Source organism: Homo sapiens, chromosome 16 (assembly GCF_000001405.40).
Source record: "Homo sapiens chromosome 16, GRCh38.p14 Primary Assembly".
In the NCBI taxonomy this organism is placed as follows: Eukaryota; Metazoa; Chordata; class Mammalia; order Primates; family Hominidae; genus Homo; species Homo sapiens.
Genome location: NC_000016.10, coordinates 11,300,805 through 11,322,452, shown reverse-complemented (window position 1 = coordinate 11,322,452; position 21,648 = coordinate 11,300,805). Strand labels below are relative to the sequence as shown.

The window sequence follows — 21,648 nt, the reverse complement described above, 5'->3', positions numbered from 1 at the left end:
AACACTGCCTGAGGGAACTGGCCATCTTCCGGAAAATTCCTCACCAAGCATCTCTCTGGATTCCCCTCCTCACATTTTTGGCCTCCTGGAGGGAGACAGTGGAGGTCACCATCTTGTCAGATGAGAACACAGCCCTGGAAGTGGGGGAGCCCCAGACCTGGTGTCCTAGCCCCAATCGAAGGTCTCATGTGATGGGTCCCAGAATGGGTTTGCTCCCTGACATCTTCAAAGGAAAAAGAGAAACCAGAACAAGTGAATAGGTTTTTCATAAAGCAGAAGCCCATCTGGGGCATAGGAGAGCAGAGAGTGGTGGAATGCATGTACGTGTGCATGTAGGTGTGTATGCATGTGCGTATGTATGTGTATACGTGTACGCGTATAAGCATGTGTGTATGTATGCATATGTACATGTGCATATGCATGTGCATGTGTATGTATGTGTATGCATGTATGTGTATGCATGTAAACGTGTATGCATGTATGTGTATACAACTATGTGTGCATGCATTTGTGTATGCATGTATGTGTGCATGCATGTGCGTATACATGTATGAGTTTATACATGTGTATGTTTATGCATGTATATGCATATGCATGTGTATGTGTAGCATGTATGTGTATATGCATGTGTGTATGCATGTCTGTGTATGCATGCATGTGTATATGCATGCATGTGTGCGTGCATGTGTATATGCAGGCGTGTATGCATGTAAGTGTATGTACGTGTATGTATGTGTATGTATGCATGTATATATGCATGTATGTGTATGTGCATTAGGTGTGTGTGTTTGCACATGTGTATGCACATATGTATGTTTGCATGTGTGTATTTTTTTCTTTTAGAGATGAGGGCTCGCTGTGTTGTCCAGGATGGTCTTGAACTCCTAGCCTCAAGAGATCCTCCAGCCTCGGCCTCCCAAGGTGCTGGGATTACAAGCAGATCCACCCTGCTCAGCCCCCATGAGGAGCAGTTCTTGAAGGGTGGCCTGGGGCCAGCAGCACTGGCACCACCTGGGGACAGGTGAGGAATGACCATTCTCAGGCCCACCCCGGCTACTGGAGCTCCAGGTGGGTGCTGCAGGTGGCACTGGTGCCTACTGATGTTTGAGGACCACTGGCCTTAGGGATGCAAAGTACAGATGGGGGAGCCGGCCCCTGAGGACTTGAATCCCAGATCTGCCACCTCACAGTTGCATGGCTACTTCCTGTCCCCGGGCATGCATCTCTCAATGAGTTCTTAAGCATCCAGAGCAGCACTTGGCATTTCAGGGACCAGCTTCCATCTGACGATAGGAGCTAACACACGTGCACCAGCTAATTATCTTTTCTTTTAGGAAGGGATGAAAACCATAGATAGTATTTGATTTCTTTGCAACTCCATGTTTGGCGAATTTTTTAAATTGGTAGTTAACTCTACCAATCCCTCCATACCGCAGTCCCCAACCTTTTTGGCACCAGGGACCAGTTTCTTTTCTTTTTTTTTTTTTCTTTTTTTTTTTGAGATGGAGTCTCCCTGTGTCATCCAGGCTACAGTGCAGTGGCACGATCTTGGCTCACTGCAACCTCCACCTCCCAGGTTCAAGTGATTCTCCTGCCTCAGCCTCTGGAGTAGCTGGGATTACAGGTGCCCGCCATCACGCCCAGCTAATTTTTGTATTTTTAGTAGAGATGCGGCTTCACCATGTTGGACAGGCTGGTCTCAAACTCCTGACCTCAGGTGATCCACCCACCTTGGCCTCCCAAAGTGCGGGGATTACAGGCGTGAGCCACCGCACCTGGCCCAGGGACCGGTTTTATAGAAGACAATTTTTCCATGGACTAGTGGGTAAGGGATGGTTTCAGGATGATTCAAGCACATTACACTTATTGTGCACTTTATTTCTGTTATGACATTATAATATATAATGAAATAATTATACAGTTCACCATAATGTAGAAGCAGTGGGAGCCCTGAGCTTGTTTTCCTGCAACTAGATGGTCCCTTCTGGGGACGATGGCAGACAGTGACAGATCAGCAGGCATTAGATTCTCATAAGGGGCACGCAACCTAGATCCCTCGCACGCGCAGTTCACAATGAGGTTTGCATTCGTATGAGACTCTAATGCTGCTGCCGATCTGACAGGAGGCGGAGCTCAGGCAGTAATGCGAACAATGGGGAGTGGCTGTAACACAGATGAAGCTTCACTCACTCACCTGCTGCTCACCTCCTGCTGTGCAGCCCGGTTCCTAACAGGCCACAGATGAGTACTGGTCTGTGGCCAGGGGTTTGGGAACCCCTGCCTCTATGTTTATATTTTTAAGTCTGCTGATCTTTGAAATCCTCAAATCAGGGAACCAGTGCTGAAGAGGTCTGAGGTTACTATGGCCCTTTCACAAGTGGGTAAACTGAGGCTCCCTGACCCACCCCCACCCCCGGGGGCACAGGAGCTTGCTCTTTGGACCCTCCTTGCACTGCCCCCACAGGAAAGAACACTTGATGTCCATGGAAATCTTGCTGAGCTGGCCCTGGCAAGGAAACAGGAATGGGGTGCTCTGGGAGCTGGGCCATCCCCAGGCTCCTGCAATTCCTCAGAGCCTCCCCTGGGCAGTGGGGACCCCCAGGGAGCCAGAACACGACCGACCTTGGGTCTGAGAAGGTGCTGCAGGGATGCTCACAGCAACAACTGCAGAAATACCAGGCGCCATTCATGGTTGTTGGCTCTGTGCCAAGGGCTTGGTATTCATTCAAGGCCTGCTCTGCAAAGGGAGGATGGCACCACCACAGCTCACTGCAGCCTCGACCTCCCGGGCTCAGGCAATCCTCCCACCTCAGCCTCCAGAGTAGCTGGGACTACAGGCGTGTGCCACCACTCCTGCCTAATTAAAAAAATATACATATATTGTAGAGTCGGGGCTCTCTGTGTTTCCCAGGCTGGTCTCCAACTCCTGGGCTCAAGCATTCCTCCCACCTCAGTCTCCCAAAGCATTGGAATGACAGGCATGAGCCACTGCCCCTGGCTGACATCCCCATTTTTACAGCAGAGGAAACTAAGCCCCAGAGAACTGAAGCTATAGGCCCAAGATCACCAAGCCATTAAGTGGCAGAGCAAGAATGCGATCCCAGGTATGGGGAACCTCAAAGTCTGGGACAGTTCCAGGCTTCGGGGCCTCAGGACACTCCCATAACCATTCTCCAAGGCACCCACCCCAACCTGACCAGGGCTGAGGAAAGGTAAGGCTGTGGCTCCCAAAAATCTGGTTAACCTCCTGCTTCAGTCCTTCCTGGTGGCTTCCTCCCACCTTCAGAATAAACCCAAACTCCTCCCCACGTGACCTGCCAGGCCCCTGCCTACTTTTCCAGCCCCAGCTCCTCCATCCTCATCACTCACAGAGCTCCGGCCACGCAGGCCTTTCTGTTCCTCCGCACGCCAGGCTAAGTTCACCCCAGGGCCTTTGCACGTGCCGTCACTGCACCCAGGACACTGTTCCCTCTGACATTCACACATCTGGCTCTTCCTCCTCTTCCTCCCCATCTTAGTTCAAACACGGCTTCTGCCAAGAGACCCCACTACCCCCAACCATCTGGCTGGTCTAGATTCCACCCCTTTGCTATCATCCTCTGTTACATCATCTAATCATTTAACTTCCTCCAAAACATCATTCTGCCTAAATTAATCTTATTTATTTGTTCATCACTTGTCTCCCCCACAATGGAATGTGAGCTCAGTTCTGCAGCCTGTGAGATGAGGGCTTGGGTCAGAATTCCAGCCCTGGGCCAGCCACGGTGGCTCACACCTGTAATCCTAGCACTTTGAGAGGCTGATGCAGGAGGATCACTTGAGTCCAGGAGTTACAGACCAGTCTCAGAAACATAGTGAGCCTTGACTCTACAAAAAATAAAAAATTAGCCAGGTGTGGTGGTGCGTGCCTGTAGTCTCAGCTACTCAGGAGGCTGAGGAGGGAGAATTGCTTGAGTCAGGGAGGTTGAGGCTGTAGTGAGCTATGATCATGCCGCTGGGCTCCAGCCTGAGTGAGAGCGTGAGACCCTGTCTCAAAAAAAAAAAAAAAAAAATACATTGTGAATGGTCTATGTAAGTCATAATAAGGTTAGTAAAAGGAATCTTTTTTATTATACTTTAAGTTCTAGGGTACATGTGCACAACGTGCAGGTTTGTTACACATGTATACATGTGCCATGTTGGTGTGCTGCACCCATTAACTCATCATTTACATTAGGTACATCTCCTAATGCTATCCCTCCCCAGTAAAAGGAATTTTTAAAGGAGTTGTATAATTCAGCTGGCTATAATTAAAAATTATAATAATCTTTCTAGAGATGCATCTTTAATATTAAAAAATACACTAATACAAAACTAAATAATTGGTTAAAACAAGATTTTTTTTTAATTTTTTTTTTATTCTTTAGACAGAGTCTTGCTGTGTCACCCAGGCTGGAGTGCAGTGACACAATCTCAGCTCACTAAAACCTCAGCCTCCCGGGTTCAAGTGATTCTCCTGCCTCAGCCTCCTGAGTAGCTGGCATTATAGGCATGTGCCATCACACTCAGCAAATTTTTGTATTTTTAGTAGAAACGGGGTTTCACCATGTTGGCCAGGCTGGTCTCGAACTCCTGACCTCAAGTGATCTGCCCACCTTGGCCTCCCAAAGTGCTGGGATTACAGGCATGAGCCACCACGCCCAGCCAGAAACAAGATTTTATTACAAATACTGACTTATTTTTAATGCAAGGAGTTTTTAAAATTTTTGAATTCCATATTCTTTTTATCATTCTTCAGATTGATATGTTTTTTGAAAAGGCCTTGAATGATACGCTCTCTCCACCTTTTGTTGGCTCCTGTAACTTTTACTAATTGTCTAAAGTAAGGGAGAAATATTTTTTGAAAACAGGCAAATAAAAAGTATCTTTTGAACACTCAAAAACAATTATGATTGGGAGGCCGAGGCGGGCGGATCACGAGGTCAGGAGATCGAGACCATCCTGGCTAACACGGTGAAACCCCGTCTCTACTAAAAAATACAAAAAAAATTAGCCAGGTGTGGTGGCGGGCGCCTGTAATCCCAGCTACTTGGCAGGCTGAGGCAGGAGAATGGCGTGAACCCGCGAGGCGGAGCTTGCAGTGAGATGAGATCGCGCCACTGCACTCCAGCCTGGGAGACAGAGCAAGACTCCATCTCCAAAAAAAAAAAAAAAAACCAAAAAACAATTATGAATTCCCGCCCTGCCTCCTTCCAGCTGTGTCTCCTGGGCAAGTGACTTTACTTTCTCTGAGCCTCAGTTTGCTTATCTATAAAATGGAAACAGAAACCCTTCCTCACTGTGTGGTTGTGAGATTTAGACACGGTAATGGCTGCGAAGCACACAGGTGCTTCATCACACTTGCTGGTTCTCTCACCTTCTGCAGGCATTTGAGGACGGTGCTGTTTCCCGATCTTGCTGTACCCCACCCGCCCCACTCCATCCCTCTCCAGTTGCCAAAGTTTCGTTTCTGGGAAGCAAAACAGAGGTGCACAAACACGGCAGATTCGTGGTCTGTCACAGGGGGATTTTGGGGTCCCCCCACGCTACCTGATTTCCAGGCAAGCTGCCTGGGCACAGCAGTTCCGGACACGGGCCCAGGTTCCGGATTCCTTATGCCGAGACTGAAGAGCGAGCCCACTTGGGTCTGTTTCATAACCTCTCGGGCTTCATCTTCTTCATCTGCATAATGGTTTCACATTCCTGGCCTGGGAGCCTCCTGATTCTGAGAAGAGCCACATAAGCAGCACTCCTTTCTGCTGCTGTCCTGCTCTCTTCCTGTTGTTCCCAGGCGGTGAGGTGGAGGGAGTCAGAGGGTTGGTGCGGGCGGGCGGGTGAGGAGGCTCCTAACGAGGCCAGGCATCTCCTGGGGATAAGAAATTCTCCTCCGGACAGAACGGATCTGGGACCAGCAGGAGGGGCAGCGCTCCGTGCCAGGCTGGCTTGTCAGCTGAGCTCAGCTCACCAGCACTGATGGATGGCCCTGTGAGGCAGGGACAGGGCACGGTCAGACATCCAGAGAGCAAAAGACTGTGTCCCCAGCGAACAGCAGCCAGGCGGTTCATTGAGCACTTGCTATGTGCTGAGAATTCTAAGGACTTGGCTTGCATTTGTGCCTTCATCCTTACAAACAACCCCTTAAGGTCAGTCTTTAGAGGCCAGGAAACCAAGGCACAGGGAGGTGATGCGATGGCCCACGGTCACAGCAAGGCAGTGTGAAGATTCCTACCACACACACGGGACCCAGAGAGGCACGCTGGTCACTTAGCTCCATGGCCCTTCAGGGACAAGGACCTAAGTGAGGAAATAAATGACGAGAGTGAGGCAGTGGGGCAGTAGGGGAGGGGAAAAGAAGGGGCTATCCATCCCCACCAAGAGGACAGCAAGGACAGGGGGCAGGGTGGGTGGGCAACTGAGGGCAGAGGCCACTCAGAGGAGACCCCAGGGGTCGCCAACTGCAAGAGAGGGAGCAGGTGACAGGAGAGTGGGCCCTAAGGCAGACCCAGCCGGGACCCACATGCTGGGAACAATAAGGGGTGCCGGGCCCCTTCTGGAAGGCGGCGCAGCAGCTCTCAGCCGCCTGAAATGGTGCACTCCCTTTGAAGCAGTAATTCCTCTTCTTGGAACCTCTCCTAAGGAAATTCTCCCCTTCCCCCTCCTGCTGGGGGCCAAGGAACAAAGCGGGTGGCTTTGTCTCCTGGCGGCCAGAGCTGGAGACCACACGCATTTCCTGAGACAGACACGGCTGCCCTGCTGGAATGTGAGGCGCCTGCATCCCGCCCTAGCACCTGGACCAGGAGGGCGTGTTGGAGGATGAGTGTATGGAGGAGATGGGGAGGGGGAGGGGAGGGCTAAGGGGCACCGTGGGTGGCCAGTACTCACCACTTGGCTCATGGTTCATTAACCATTCTGAGTTCATCCTGCGGCCCTTCTTGGGCTGGATATTTTTTTATTTTTATTTTTTGAGGTGGAGTCCTGCTCTGTCGCCCAGGCTGGAGTGCAGTGGCACAATCTTGGCTCAGTCAGTCTCTGCCACCGGGTTCAAGCAATTCTCCTCCCTCAGCCTCCCCAGTAGCTGAGGTTACAGGCGCGTGCCACCACGCCCGGCTAATTACTTTTTATTTTTAGTAGAGATGGGGTTTCGCTGTGTTGGCCAGGCTGGTCTCGAACGCCTAACCTCAAATGATCCACCCACCTCGGCCTCCCAAAGTGTTGAGATTACAGGCGTGAGCCACCGCAACCAGCCCTTTTTGGCTTTTAGACTAGTCAAGTGCAGTCATGAGAAAGGGGAAAGAGTAAAATGAGGAGTTGGATCTGTAACTGCCTGTGAACAATTGACTGAGATAACTTACTACCTTCAGACCAGACAAGTGCACTCATCTTAAATGTGCAGCTTGATGGCTTTTTTTTCCTTTTTTTTTTAAGAGCCAGGGTCTCACTCTGTCACTCAGGCTGGAGTGCAGTGGCACGATCATGGCTCACTGCAGCCTCGACCTCCTGGGATTAAGCAATTCTCCCGTCTCAGCCTCCCAAAGGGCTGGGACTACAGACTATGTGCCACCATGCTGGGCTAGTTTTTGTATTTTTAGTAGAAACAGGGTTTTGCCATGTTGGCCAGGCTGGTCTCAAACTCCTGACCTCAGGTGATCCTCCCACCTTGGCCTCCTAAAGTGTTGGGATTACAGGCATGAGTCACTGCGCCTGGCCTGGATAGCTTTTTACACAGGTGTATACCATGACCCACATCAAATTCAGACTTTGGCTACTCAAAGTGCGGTCCTCAGACCAGCAGTACTGACCTCTCTAGGAACCTTGCTGGAAATGCAGAACTGCAGGCCCCGCCAGCACCTTCTGGGTCAGGATCTGCATTCTACTGTACAAGACCCCGGGAAAGTCGTGTGCTTGGTAAAGCGGGTGTGCTGGCAGAGGACACAGACGGAGGCTCCTAAGCCTGAGGGCAGATGCCTAGCCCCAGGGCCTGGAACAGGATCTGAGGTGCTGCCACCTCACTTGTCACTAGTGCTTGGAGACCCTGCATTTCACGATTCCCAGGAGAGCCTTTCCAACCCCATCAATTCACTGACAAGGGGAAGGGACCATCCCAAGGTCCCACAGCAGGTCACTAATAGATCCAGGGCACAAGCGGCCCCGACCAGGCCTCTTACCCTGGGACTTTGCTACTTTGTACCTCAACCTACCCATCTGCAAATAGGCATGAAGATCTCCACCCAACCCGCCGCCCATAGCAGTGGAAGTGTACTGTAGACACTGAGTCTTGCTGTCATGTGGTGGGGGGTGCCTGGCACTTTCTCAGGCATGTCCCTGCACTGTCTCATTGAAGCCACGCAACAAGCCTATAAGGCAGAAACTTTAGTATCACATTAATATCAACATATTCACATCAGTCCGGGCGGGTTGGCTCATGCTGGTAATCCCCACACTTTGAGGGGCCCAGGCAGGAAGATTGCTTGAGCCCAGAAGTTTGAGACCAGCCTGGCCAACAAAGCAAGACTCCTGTCTCTACAAAAAATTAGCTGGGCTTGATGGTGCATGCCTGTAGTCTCAGCTATTCAAGAGGCTGAGGTGGGAAGATCACTTGAGTCCAGAAGGTCAAGGCTGCAGTGAGCTTTGATCTTGCCACTGCACTCCAACCTGGGTGAGAGATGGAGGCCCTGTCTCAAAAAAAAAAAAATCAATGTATCCATAATAATGTCAACATTATATCAATAATATTGTGCCATTTTACAGGAGAGAAAATAAAAGCTCAGAGAAGTTAAGCGACTTGCTCGAGAAGCTACAAAGTGGGGCAGCCAGGACTTGAACACAGACAGTCTGACTCCAAAGCCCTCCAAAGATGTAGGTTAATTTTAACCTACATCTCCCAGAAAATGAGCAACAAAGGATGTCCAGCCCTCCAGCAAACTAGTTTAAGAAAGAAACTGTCTTTCTTTTCTTCTGTACTTGAGGTGGGGTGGGGGCAGGGAATAAACAATAATCATGCATGCGCATGACTTAAACAAAAATTCAAAGCATCCAAGGACTTCACAGAAAAAAAACTGGTTCCCCTCCCACACCATTTCCAGATCTCAGTTATCCTGCCTGAGGCAACCTCTCTGATCAATCCCTTGTGTGCCTTTTCAAGATATGCTCTGCACGACCTGGCGCACCTGGACACATACATTGCTTTTCCCACTCACATGAATGGGAGCCCACTCTCCCTTCAGACCTGGCCCTGGCCCTTACCACCCTGCACTGATCCCCCATCAGCCCATAGAGGCTACCTCGTGGGTTATGGCGTGGGATGCCCTGCAACCCCCTCACCCCACCATGCTGCTGAGCACACAACTTCTTTCCAGTTGTTTCTGACCACAAGCACTGTGGAGCCAAATCACCTCACACTCCTAGGAGTGCTTCTGCAAGACACCTCCCAGAGGTGGGACTGCCCCACCTGGGTGTGTATGATTTTGACCTTGGCAGATACAAGGGGCGTTTCTTACCTGCTAGCCTTGGACAGGGCATAAGATGTCTGGCGCCTCCAGTGCCCAGATCCTGGGTGGGGAGTGAGGGGAGGGGCTTGGAGTAGGGAAGGACAGCCTTTCCAAGAAACTGAAAGTGAAACCAGAGAAAGGTGTGGGCACGTGGTGGAGGCTCCTTGGAGTGAGGGACCTGTCCATCTAGCTGCTTCTGCAGAAATAAGAGCCAGGAGCCCCTCTCTCTCTGATAGTCCTGGGGTGACAGTTCTGTCTCCCACAAACCCCAGCCCTCTGGACTTGAGCTTTACACTGGGCCAGGGCTTGCAGGTGGCAAGTTTCCTGTGTCCCAACTGGAACAACAGTTATATGGCACTGATTTGTCAAGTCATGCTAGTGCCAACCTCCCTTGGGCGAGACAGGGCCTAAACTTTATTTATTTATTTTTTTGAGATGGAGTTTTGCTCCTGTTGCACAGGCTGGAGTGCAATGGTGCAATCTCAGCTCGTGTAACCTCCGCCTCCTGGGTTCAAGTGATTCTCTTGCCTCAGCCTCTCAAGTAGCTGGGATTACAGGCATGCACCACCACAGCTGGCTAATTTTTGTATTTTTAGTAGAGACAGGGTTTTGCCATGTTGGACAAGCTGGTCTCAAACTCCTGAACTCAGGTGATCCACCCACCACGGCCTCCCAAAGTGCTGGGATTACAGGCGTGAGCCACCGTGCCTGGCCAGGGCCTTAACTTTAAATTTTACGGCCATTTATTGAGTGCTAGCTAGGTGCCAAGGACTGTTTCAAGCATAGTACAAACATGAGTCCCTTTAATCCCCAAAACATCCTATGAAGTGGGTCCTGTTATTATGCTCATTTTACAAACGAGAAAACTGAGGCCAGACAGGGTAAGCACTGAGTCCAAGGCCATGGAGCTATGGAAAGGCAGAGCGCTTGTCCTCACCACTGAGCTCTGGGCAGAGGCTCTCACAGGCAGGTCTGTGAAAATACCTCGTGCTGGGCCCCTCTTGAGTTCCTGACCCTGTGAGTGGGAGGTGAGCCACAGAGTCTGGTTTTTGGTTTTTGTTTTTGTTTTGACACACTGTCTTGCTCTGTTGCCCAGGCTGGAGGGCAGTGGCGCAATCATGACTCACTGCAGCCTTGAACTCCTGGGCTCAATCCATCCTCCCACCTCAGCCTCCAGAGTAGCTGGGACTACAGGCATGCATATGTACATATATATATATATATATATGGAGTGCAATGGTGCAATCTCAGTTCACTGTAACCTCCACCTCCTGGGTTTTATATATATATATATATATATATATATATATATATTTTTTTTTTTTTTTTTTTTTTTTTTTTTGTAGAGGTGGGTTTTGTTACCAAGACACCAGAGGTTCAGACTAGGTCCTGCTGCTCGCCACACAGAAAGCCAATGACTGAGATGACGAGTATTACCAAGGAAAGGATGAAGGCTTTAATCCGGTGCTGGCAGCCAAGCAGATGGGAGGTCAGCCACAAACCCACCTCCCTGACCAACTAAAACTAGGGGTTTATACAGCAGGAAAGAAATGTAACGATGTGCAAGAAAACAGGAACTAGGAGGGGCAAGGAAACAATCGTGATGAATGAGGGCCCCTCCCTGCCCCTCCACATCTCATTGTCTGGATGTGGTGGTTAGTTTCAGTTCTTTGATACTTTTTTGAGAGGCCTGAAGGTCCTTTCCTGATATAGAACTCACGTAAACAAATAAAAGCTTCAAGTTTTAAGACAAGAAGGGTCAATTTCTTTGTTTATCCAAAAAACTATCTATGGGACTATTGGGTCAGTTTCAGTTTCGCCATGTTGCCCAGGCTGGTCTTGAACTTCTGGGCTCCAGGGATCTTCCTGCCTTGTCCTCCCAAAGTGCTGGGATTACAGGCATGGGCCACCGTGCCCAGCCAAGAGTCTGCATTTCTAACAAGCGCCGGGTAATTCTATACGTTCCATAGGAGCCTTTACTGGACAAGAGCTGGTCTTCAAGGCCCTCCAACCAGAGATTCTTCACGGAAGGTCTCATGATACCCACACATATCCCAGAGCCTGTGGCCTGGGCTCACCAGTGAGCCCTAACCTTGATCACTTTGAAATAAGGAGCTGCCCACACACAACACACCCACCAGAAGGTGCAAAGTGAAAATGGCAAAACCAAGAGTGGTGAGGATGGGGAGCAACTGGAACCCCCACTCACTGCTGCTGTGAACGTAAGTTGGTGCAATGTTTCAGAAATCTGCTTGCCACAGATTTCCCGAGGCTGGGCACATACACAGCCTATGACCCCACAATCCCACTTCCAAGGATATGTCCAACAGAAATGTGGTGGTACGTTCTCCAAAAGACACGTTCAAGCACACACACATCAGCGCTATTCATGACAGCTCCAAACTGGGAACAGCAGAGCTTGTTGACATCAGGTCAGATAAACCTATGGTCTATTCAGACAGTGGAATATTACACAGCAGTGAGAAGGAATGGATACAACTGCACATAACAGGCTGAGTTCAGTGGCTCAAACTTGTAATCCCAGCACTTTGGGAGGCCAAGGTGGGTGGAGCACTTGAGCCCAGGAGTTCAAGACCAACCTGGGCAACATGGTGAAACCACATCTCTAGAAAAAGATACAAAAATCAGCCAGTGTGGTGGCCTGTGTCTGTAGTCCCAGCAACTGGAAAGGCTGACGTGCAGGATCACTTGAGCCCAGGAGGTCAAGGCTGCAGGGCGCTATGATCACACCACCGTACTCCAGCCTGGGCAACAGAATGAAAACCAGTCTCAGAAAACAAAACAAAGAAACAACTGCACACATCAACAAGGTGAAGCACCTGGACATCATGTTCAGAGGAGGAAGCCAGGCACAGAGAAGCATACACCACGTGATTCTGTTTATAGGACGTTTGGTCACAGAAACAGACTCTGGTGATACAGTCTGATCCCCAGGGAGCTGGGGGGAGGGAAGAGAGGGACTGAATAGGCAGGAAGCTGGCACTGTTCTCTATCTCAGTCTGGGTGGTCACCACACGAGTGTGTACTCATGTACAATTCCTTGGAAGATTTGTGGACCTTACTGCATACCATAATAATTTTTTTTTTTAAGACAGGGTGTCACTCTGTTGCCTAAGCTGGAGTGCAGTGGCACAAACTCGGCTCACTGCAATCTCCACCCCCCGGGTTCAAGTGATTCTCCTGCCTCAGCCTCCCGAGTTGCTGGGATTACAGGCGCCTGCCACCACGCCCAGCTAATTTTTGTATTTTTAGTAGAGACAGGGTTTCACCATGTTAGCCAGGCTGGTCTCGAACTCCTGACCTCGAGTGATCTGCCTGCCTCGGTCTCTCAAAGTGCTGGGATTACAGGCATGAGCCGCCGCGTTCTGCCAATAATTTTAAAAACTTTTTGTATCTTTATTTTATTTTTGTATTTTTTAGAGACAGGGTCTGGCTCTGTTGCCCAGGCTGGAGAGCAGAGGCTGGAGTGGAGTGGCTCACTGTAGCCTCAAACTCCTGGGTTCAAGGGATCCTCCCACCTCAGCCTCCTGAATAGATGGGACCACAGGTGTGTGCCACCATGCCTGGCTAGTTTTTTATTTTTTGTAGAGACAGGGTCTGGCTCTGTTGCCCAGGCTGGTCTTGAACTCCTGGGCTCAAGCAATTCTCCTGCCTCAGCCTCCCAAAGTGCTAGGATTGATGGCAGCGGTGGCCCATGTGGAGCGGCCTCTGCCGTCACTCCAGCTGCAGCAAGGAGGCATGGCTGGGGCTGCACATTCTCTGGAGGTGGCAGGAGCTGGGGACAAGTGGGAGCCCCGCCCCTTTTGAGTTAGTGGGGTGGGAGCTTCCCGGATGCAGCCACAACTGCCCAAGTCGTGCCTGCAGACCTGGGCGTCCCGCTCCATGGAGCAGGCAGGAGCCCTGCCCCCTCCTGGGTACAGCTGCAGCCACCCAAACCACAGCTGCAGATTCAGGCCTCCCACCCCACAGAGCAGGCAGAAGCCTTGCACTCCCTGTCTCCAGCACACCTGCAGCTGCCCAAATTGCAGCTGTGGACCCAGGCATCCCTGCACTCTTGGTGGCCCAGGAAGACCCCCCTCCCCTCACAGGCTCAGAAGTGCCTGCTCCCACTGCCTGGCTTCTCCCTGCTGTCGGTGCCCACTCTGATCTTGGAGCAAAGCAAAGCCCGGCCAGGTGTGAACACCCGGGGCAGTGCTGACATGCTAGTCCCCTGCTGCCTCAGCCCCCTCTGGACTTTGAGCACTGACAAGCATAGAAGGGAAGTTGAAGGGGAGCTGAGGGCAGCTTGGTGCTGACCTGCAGGCACCCCTTGGCACCTACAGCCTGGGCCCATGAACGGCAGCAAGAGGCAGACAGGTTCCTTGGTGCAGGCGCTGGGTCCCCGGTGAGGCCCCACCTTCACCCAGGGAGGGTCCGAAGGCTGTGGGCCAGGCTGCCAGTCCCACAGGACCAGAGTGGGAACTTGTGGTGCCTTTTCTGGGCCCACTCACGGCCACCCATGGACCGTTTGGCATGCATTTCCTCTTCTCTGAGACCCATAAAAGCACCGGACTCAGCCAGAGCTGAGCAGACGTCAGGTCAACCAGCTGCAGAGAGCAGCTACCCACTCCAAGGCCTCCTCTGAGCTATTCTGTCACTCAATAAAGCTCTTCATCACCTTGTTCGCCCTACGCTTGTCTGCGTACCTCATTCTTCTTGGAAGCAAGACAAGAACTCGGGAACTGCCGAATGGCAGGGCTGAAGGAACTGTAACACAAACAGGGCAGAAACACGCCCGTTGCTTGCCATATTGTGGGTGAAGAGAAGGAGAGAAGAGCTGTGGCCCTTCAGGGAGCCCAGACCTGGGAGCCCAAGTCAGGACTGGGACTCCCTCTTTGGGGCCCTGTGGTTCCTGGAGCCTCCAGGCTTCCAGGCACCAATGCATTCCCCAGTGGCAGCCGTGGAGGCTGCCTGTGGTACACCTGGTCCCGCCGCAGCCTCGCAGAGAGCTGGCGCCTGTGCGGGCACCTGGTCCCTGCCCCGTTGTAGCAGCCAGTGTGCCTGACTATGCACAGTGGCCAGACCCCATGCGCACTTGCTCACACACCCCTCACTGTGCCACACCTGGCTTGCCCAAGCAAGGGTGGGATCCAGGCTGGTAGTGTGAGCCGAGCACAGCCTGCCAGGCTGAGTGGGCAGAACTAGCCCAGTGGGCCCAAGCAAAACTTGGCCAAAAGATGCCACCAGCCACAGAGGTTTCTGGCCATAAAAGCAGCACCCCAAGGATCATGCAACAAGATTACAGGCGTGAGCCACCACGCCCAGCCTAAGAAAATTTTTAATTGTAATAAAATACACATATGACTTACCACCTGAACCATTTGAAGGGCACAGTTCAGAAATGTTAAGTACATTTTTACATTGTTGTGCAACCATAACCGCCATGCAGCTCCAGAACTCTTTTCATGTTACAAAACTGAACCTTTCCACCTGTTAAGCAACTCCCATTTCCCCTCCCTCCTGCCCCAGCAACCACTATTCCACTTTCTGTTTCTCTGAATCCGACTTCTCCGGGTACCTCCTGTGAGTGGAATCAAATGACCTGTGTCCTTTTATGACTGGCTTCTTTCACTTTGCATAATGTCCTTGAGGCACATCCATGCTGTTGCATGTGTCAGAGTTCTCTTCCTGTTTAGGGCTGAATTATATTCCACTACATGTTATCTTAGTCAATCTGGGCTGCTATAACAAACTACCATAAACTAGGGAGTTTATCAACAACAGAAATTTCTTTCTCTTCTTCTTCTTCTTTTTTTTTTTTAAGAGAGAGTCTCACCCTATTGCCCAGGCTGGAGTACAGTAGTGCAATCTCAGCTTACTACAACCTCCGCCTCCAGGTTCAAGTGATTCTCCTGCCTCAGCCTCCCGAGTGGCTGGGATTACAGACGCCCACCACCACACCTGGGCAATGTTTGTACTTTTAGGAGAGACGGAGTTTCATCATGTTGGCCAGGCTGGTCTTGAACTCCTTCCCTCAGGTGATCTGTCTGCCTCGGATCTCCCAAAGTGCTGGGATTAGAGGCATGAGCCACTGCACCCGGCCAAACGTTTATTTCTTACAGTTCTGGAGGCTGAAAAGTCCAAGATGAAGGTGCTGGCAGATCCAATGTCTGCTGGGGGCCTGTTTATTGGTTCACAGACCGGAAAGAAGGATTCTTGTTGGATCTTTAATGGCGAAAGGTGTGAACCCGTTCTCATGGGATTGTTTTATAAGGGTGCTAATCCCATTCATGAGGGCTGTGCCCTCATGAACTAATCACCTTCCAAAGGCCCCGCCTCCTAATGCACCATCACAGTGGGGGTGAGAATTTCATCATATGCATTGCCGGAGGGCCCAAGCGTTCAGACCATAGCAATGTGTATTAGGTTGGTGCAAAAGTAATCGCGGTTTTTGTCATTACTTTCAATGGCAAACACCACAATTACTTTTGCACCAACCTAATATAAACCACATCATGTTCATCCATTCACCCATTAATGGGCATCTGGGTTGCTTCCACATTTTGGCTATTGTGAATAGTGCTGCTATGAACATGGGTGTACAAAAGGTTTTGTTGTTGTTGTTGTTGTTTTTTGAGATAGTCTCACTCTGTCACCCAGGCTGGAGTGTAGTGGCGTGATCTCAGCTCACTGCAGCCTCCACCTCCTGGGTTCAAACGATTCTCCTGCTTCAGCCTCCTGGGTAGCTGGGAAAACAGGCATGTGCCAACATGCCCAGCTAATTTTTGTATTTTTAGTAAAGACAGCATTTGCCATGTTGACCAGGCTGGTTTTGAACTCCTGACCTCAAGTGATCTGCCCGCCTCGGCCTCCCGAATCTCTGGGATTACAGGTGTGAGCCACTGCGCCTGGCCAGATTTTTTTGCTTTTTATAGAGATGGGGTTTTGCTATGCTGCCCAGGCTTAATCTAATTTTGTCTCCACGAATTTGCCTATTCTGGACATTTCCCATAGATGGAACCATATAATAAGTGGTCTTCTGTGCCTGCCTTCTTCCACACACCGTGTTTTCCACGTTCACTCATGGTGTAGTTTGAATGTAGTATCGTGGTTTAAAATCAGTTCTCAGAACCTCATTCCTTTTTTGTTGTTGTTGAATAATATTCCATCGCATGCCTCGGGAACTTTTTATTTTTATTTGTAATTTTTTTGAGACGGAGTCTCGCTGTGTCGCCCAGGTTAGAGTGCAGTGGTGCCATCTCAGCACACTGTAAGCTCCGCCTCCTGGGTTCATGCCATTGTCCTGCCTCAGCCTCCCAAGTAGCTGGGATTACAGGCATCCGCCACCACACCTGGCTAATTTTTTGCATTTTTAGTAGAGACAGGGTTGCACTGTGTTAGCCAGGATGGTCTCGACCTCCTGACCTTGTGATCCGCCCGCCTCGGCCTCCCAAAGTGCTGGGATTACAGGTGTGAGCCACCACGCCCAGCCAGGCCCGGGAGCTTTTAAAACATACCGATGCTGGTGCCCCAACTGAGACACACTGATCCAAGTAGCCTGAGGTGGGGCACCACGATCTGTAGAAACCTCCAGGTGGTTCCATCTGCTTCCAGTGCTGAGACTCATGCTGCTTTCTCTGCTTGGGGATTCCAGGGTAGATATTACAGGCAACATTTCAGCCCGGGGTTCCGCAGCTGAAGTGGAATCTGACTTCCTTCCTCCATTTGGCAGCACGAATGAGATGCTGACTGCATGCGTGGCACTGTGAGACCCAAATGACCATGACGGAGACTTTCCCTCATATGGTTTGGTGTCCTTAACTACTGGCACAGGAGGCCTGGTGTATGTTTAATAACAAGTAGAATGAAACAAGAATGGAAGGAGAGGACGACTGCAGGGGTAGGCAGTATTACTTAAGTAAAGCGAAGGTTCTGTCTTTGGGGAATGCTGACCCCTAAAATGGACACAGTGAGAAAAATGCTTCCACAGGGACCATATTTTGCCTACAACTTTAGGAGATTCTCTACCATGAAATCTACCCATGACCCGTAAGTTGAATCCCTTGTTTCAGAGAGAGAGAATGATGTAATTCACACATTGAACACTATTATTATTATTATTGTTATTATTTTGAGACAAGGTCTGTCTCTGCCACCCAGGCTGGAGTGCAGTGGAGCAATCTTGGCTCACTGCAAGCTCCGCCTCCCGGATTCATGCCATTCTCCTGCCTCAGCCTCCCTAGTAGCTGGGACTACGGGCGCCCGCCACCACGCCCGGCTAATTTTTTGTATTTTTAGTAGAGACAGGGTTTCACCGTGTTAGCCAGGATGGTTTCGATCTCCTGACCTCGTGATCCGACCGCCTCGGCCTCCCAAAGTGCTGGGATTACAGGTGTGAGCCACCGCGCCTGGCCTCTGAACACATTATTTTCTAAGCACTTACGACTTGCTAGGTGCTGGGACTGAAGCCATGAACAAAACAACGTCCTTGTTCTTAAGGATATTGTGATTTGGTGGAGAGAAGCAGCTAGCACACAGAGAGGCAAGACAGAGCACCCGATTGTCCAGTGGTATGGGCGGATAATGTAAGGAGGCACCCAAAATGTGTCCCTTCCAGGCACAGCAGCCCCAGGACACTTTGCTGAGATCTGGAAGCTAGGAAGGCATCAGCCATGCCCTAATGCAGAAAAGCATTCCAGGCAGAGGGAACGGCAACGTGATTTCAATTCCGGCAACTGAAACATAACGCATGTGGAGGGGTGGGGGAGATGGAGTCAGAAAGGTGGGTCGGGGCAGGGTGAGAAATCTCAAGACTATTGGAAATGGTTTTGTGGAGTGGGGGCGGGTGGGGGCTCCTTTTCCAGCACAAGGACCCAGCAATGTAAACAGGACAGACTTGACCCAGTTCTTTTGGAGCTGGGAATGTTAGCACTAGGGAACATATCTGAGTCACAGGGCACCAGTGTGTGTTAGCGGCAGTGAGTCCATACGAGTCTGCAGCAACCTCAATTCTTGCCTCCTCCGAAGAAAGAATTCGACGCAGGGGGCATAAGGCAAAGAGAGGCAAGCTCTAGAGCAGGAGTGAACATTTGTTAAAAAGTTTTAGGGCAGGAATGAAAGGAAGTCAAGTTCACTTGGAAGAGTGCCAGGCGGGCGACTTGAACGAGTCAACTGCCCACTTTGCCATTTGACTTGAGGTCTTATATGCTGGCACGCTTCCAGGGTTGCACTACTTCTCCCGATCCTTCCCTTGGGGTGGGCCGTCCCCTTAGCCGTGGCCTGCCTGTCCTTGGGAGGGGAGCATGCGCAGTGTGTTTACTGAAGTTGTGCGCATGCTCACTTGAGGCGTTTTTCCCTTACCAGTCCAGCGTTCCTAGAAGCAGGTCACAGACCAGACTCTGCCATTCTGCCTCTTAGTATGCATGCTTGAGCCAACTCTGAGATCTTATCGCAAAGCTGCTGATCATATTTCTGGTGTTTTTTAATCTATTGGGAGCCTGCCTTTCCTCAGTGCTGGCTACAACCAATTATTATTTTGGAGAGACAGTTAAATCACCTGACCATCACCTGATGGTGGCCTGACAGTCCTGGTTGGGGGGCACCCTCTCCTGCCCTGCTTATGTCTGACTGCCTACTGTAACAAGGGCAGACAGAGGGCAAACTTATTTTACAAAATGCGTCTCAACAGGTGAAAGGCGGAGGGTGGAGGCATCTTGGGCCAAGAGAGGCAGGAGGAAAGGCCCCAGGCTGGAAAAATCAGGGGCCCCCTTTGCAGATAAAGTGTCCACAAGTGGGGCTTGTACAGACCTGAAGCAGCTGCAGGAACACTGGCCATCTGCCAAACAGAAAACGAGACTAAAGGTGTTTCAACAAAGTCAAGAGAGATGGAGGAGACCTGCTAGTGTTTGGGAAAACATTGAAACTGGGCAAAACCAGCGCATCCAAACATTTTCTCTGAGATTGAAAACTTTATAGATATAAGAAAAGTATGTATGTGTGTGTGTATATATATATATAATATACACATACATATATACATACATATGTACTTGTCATATGCCAGGTGCTGGGCCATATGCCAATATATTACTATTTAATTTTTGTTTTATTTTTTGTAGAGATGGGGTCTTGCTATGTTGCCCAGGCAGGTCTCGAACTTCTGGCCTCAAATGATCCTCCTGCCTCAGCCTCCCAAGTAGCTGGGATTACAGGCTTGTGCCACCACCTCTGGCTAATTTTTAAACTTTTTTGTACAGGTGGGGTCTCACTATGTTGCCCAGGCTGGTCTCAAATTCCTGGGCCCAAGTGATCCTCCTGCCTTGGCCTCCTAAAGCACTGGGATTACAGGTGTGAGCCACCATACCCAGCCTAAGATATTACTTTTATTCACATCCTTATTGTTGCTTTTGACAGCTTCCTGGGATTCCTTTTGGCACTCATCTGTGTCCCATGTGTACTGGCCCCAAAAAGATAAGTTCACATCTTAACCCCTTTCAAAGCCTTATGAAGGTGACTTTGTTTGGAAATAGGATCTTTGCAAACATGATTAAGTGAAGGATCTAGAGATGAGATCATTCTGGATTAGGGTGGGCCCTGAATCCAACAACAAGTGTACTTAGAAGGGTAGAAGACAATGGAAAGGAGGCCTTGTGAAGAGGGAGGCATAGACTGGAGTGACTAATGCATCTCCACACCCAGGAGCATTGGGGGTCGCCAGCAGCTCCCAGAAGCTAGGGAGAGGCATGGAACAGATTCTCCCCTAGAGCCTCTGGGAGGAACCAGCCCTGCCTGCCAACACCTTGACTTTGAACTTCTGGCCTCCAGAACCATGAGAGAATACATTTCTATTGTTTTAAGCCACCCAGTCTGTGGGAATTTGTTACCACAACGTTGGGAAATGAATATAATGTATATAATTAATAAGTTCACATCCACCACTGAGGGTCTTGCTGATATTTTATATGACATTGTGGGGAAGAAGATCAGACACTTCAGGGGATCTCTGGCTGATCTTGATTCTATCACTTACTGCATAACTCTGGGCACGTTCTGTGGCTTCCCTGGGCTTCTGTCTACTGGGGAGAGCAGTGGTTTACGTGAAATATGTGAAATACTCCACCACTGCTAGCAGCTGTGATTTCCATGGTCATGGCTACAGTCTCACAGTCAGTCAAATGGCTTTGGCAAGCAGGGTCCTCTGCACCCTACTTTAAATGGGAAAGTAGGAAAGGAAAAGGGCAGGAGGAGTAGGTTTCAGAACAGTGAGGTCTAGATGGGGAATGTTGTTCCTTGGGAAGTTCCAAGTTTCTAACACAACAAGGGTGGCTTTGTTTTTTTTTTTTTTTTTTTGCTTATTTTTTGTTATTTATTTATTTATTTATTTATTTTGAGATGGAATCTCACTCTGTCACCCAGGCTGGAGTGCAGTGGCCTGATCTTGGCTCACTGCAACTTCTGCCTCCTGGGTTCAAGCAATTCTCCTTCCTCAGCCTCCCGAGTAGCTGGGACTACAGGCGCACCCTACCATGCCTGGCTAATTTTTTGTATTTTTTTAGTAGAGACAGGGTTTCACCATATTGACCAGGCTGGTCTCGAACTCTTGACCTCGTGATCCGCCTGCCTTGGCCTCCCAAAGTGCTGGGATTACAGGCGTAAGCCACCGTGCCTGGCCAATTTTTTGTTATTTTTTAAACACACCTGCACATGACCTTAGCTTGTTTTTTTGTTTGTTTTTAAAATTAGAGATGGGGTCTCACTATGTTGCCTAGGCTGGTCTTGAACTCCTGGGCTCAAGTGATCCTTCCATCTCAGCCTCTCAAAGTGCTGGGATTAAAGGCATAAGCCACTGCGCCCGGGCAAGGGTGACCTTCTAAGAAGAGGTAATGGGGGGGATTTACAATCTGAAAAAGCCCACCCAGGGTGGACCCCTTGTGGGCTCAGCAGGCACAGCTCCTGGGGCTATGACACTTCAGGTGCCCACGGAAATGTTTTCATTTAAAGTTCTTTTAAAAGAAAGGAGGAGAACACATGGGATCATGATGACAATGTAATAACAAATCCATCCTGCATTACGTTTGTCGTTATACCAATGTGGTCGTAAGTACAATTTCATTTTCTCTTTTTTATGGAAGAAGGTGTCCAT

The 21,648-nt window shown here is 50.0% G+C and overlaps 1 long non-coding RNA gene and 1 other non-coding gene across 3 annotated transcripts in view, besides 7 other annotated features; one reads left to right on the top strand and one right to left on the bottom strand.

The window, feature by feature from the left end:
- LOC105371082 (uncharacterized) overlaps window positions 1–21,648 on the bottom strand; it is a 146,190-nt gene that overhangs the window by 73,338 nt on the left and 51,204 nt on the right. The window contains exons 1-2 of one of the 2 annotated variants that reach the window (XR_933073.3): window positions 9,516–9,580; window positions 5,569–6,312 (exon numbers count right to left, since the gene is read on the bottom strand). The exons of the other annotated variant lie outside the window; for it this stretch is intronic. This is a non-coding gene — a long non-coding RNA (uncharacterized LOC105371082). Of the gene's footprint in view, window positions 1–5,568; window positions 6,313–9,515; window positions 9,581–21,648 lie in introns of those variants that run through there. 2 annotated transcript variants of the gene reach the window in all.
- Window positions 941–1,536: an enhancer, noted in NCBI's record as "H3K27ac-H3K4me1 hESC enhancer chr16:11414774-11415369 (GRCh37/hg19 assembly coordinates)". NCBI's record gives its function as "activates a minimal SCP1, AML or CMV promoter by ChIP-STARR-seq in naive H9 embryonic stem cells {active_cell/tissue: H9 hESC(naive)}" and the evidence as "EXISTENCE:reporter gene assay evidence [ECO:0000049][PMID:30033119]".
- Window positions 5,730–6,427: an enhancer, noted in NCBI's record as "NANOG-H3K27ac-H3K4me1 hESC enhancer chr16:11409883-11410580 (GRCh37/hg19 assembly coordinates)". NCBI's record gives its function as "activates a minimal SCP1, AML or CMV promoter by ChIP-STARR-seq in primed H9 embryonic stem cells {active_cell/tissue: H9 hESC(primed)}" and the evidence as "EXISTENCE:reporter gene assay evidence [ECO:0000049][PMID:30033119]".
- Window positions 6,428–7,125: an enhancer, noted in NCBI's record as "OCT4-NANOG-H3K27ac-H3K4me1 hESC enhancer chr16:11409185-11409882 (GRCh37/hg19 assembly coordinates)". NCBI's record gives its function as "activates a minimal SCP1, AML or CMV promoter by ChIP-STARR-seq in naive and primed H9 embryonic stem cells {active_cell/tissue: H9 hESC(naive and primed)}" and the evidence as "EXISTENCE:reporter gene assay evidence [ECO:0000049][PMID:30033119]".
- Window positions 7,126–7,823: an enhancer, noted in NCBI's record as "H3K27ac-H3K4me1 hESC enhancer chr16:11408487-11409184 (GRCh37/hg19 assembly coordinates)". NCBI's record gives its function as "activates a minimal SCP1, AML or CMV promoter by ChIP-STARR-seq in naive H9 embryonic stem cells {active_cell/tissue: H9 hESC(naive)}" and the evidence as "EXISTENCE:reporter gene assay evidence [ECO:0000049][PMID:30033119]".
- Window positions 9,301–9,420: an enhancer, noted in NCBI's record as "active region_10432". NCBI's record gives its function as "activates an Ori minimal core promoter by ATAC-STARR-seq in GM12878 lymphoblastoid cells {active_cell/tissue: GM12878}" and the evidence as "EXISTENCE:reporter gene assay evidence [ECO:0000049][PMID:35858748]".
- Window positions 10,427–10,721: an enhancer, noted in NCBI's record as "tiled region #10157; HepG2 Activating DNase matched - State 5:Enh". NCBI's record gives its function as "activates a minimal TATA promoter and a strong SV40 promoter by Sharpr-MPRA in HepG2 cells {active_cell/tissue: HepG2}" and the evidence as "EXISTENCE:reporter gene assay evidence [ECO:0000049][PMID:27701403]".
- Window positions 10,427–10,721: a silencer, noted in NCBI's record as "tiled region #10157; K562 Repressive DNase unmatched - State 7:EnhWF". NCBI's record gives its function as "weakly represses a minimal TATA promoter and a strong SV40 promoter by Sharpr-MPRA in K562 cells {active_cell/tissue: K562}" and the evidence as "EXISTENCE:reporter gene assay evidence [ECO:0000049][PMID:27701403]".
- On the top strand, window positions 15,926–16,013 carry MIR548H2 (microRNA 548h-2). The gene has a single exon (NR_031678.1). It is a non-coding gene; the product is annotated as a microRNA 548h-2 (primary transcript).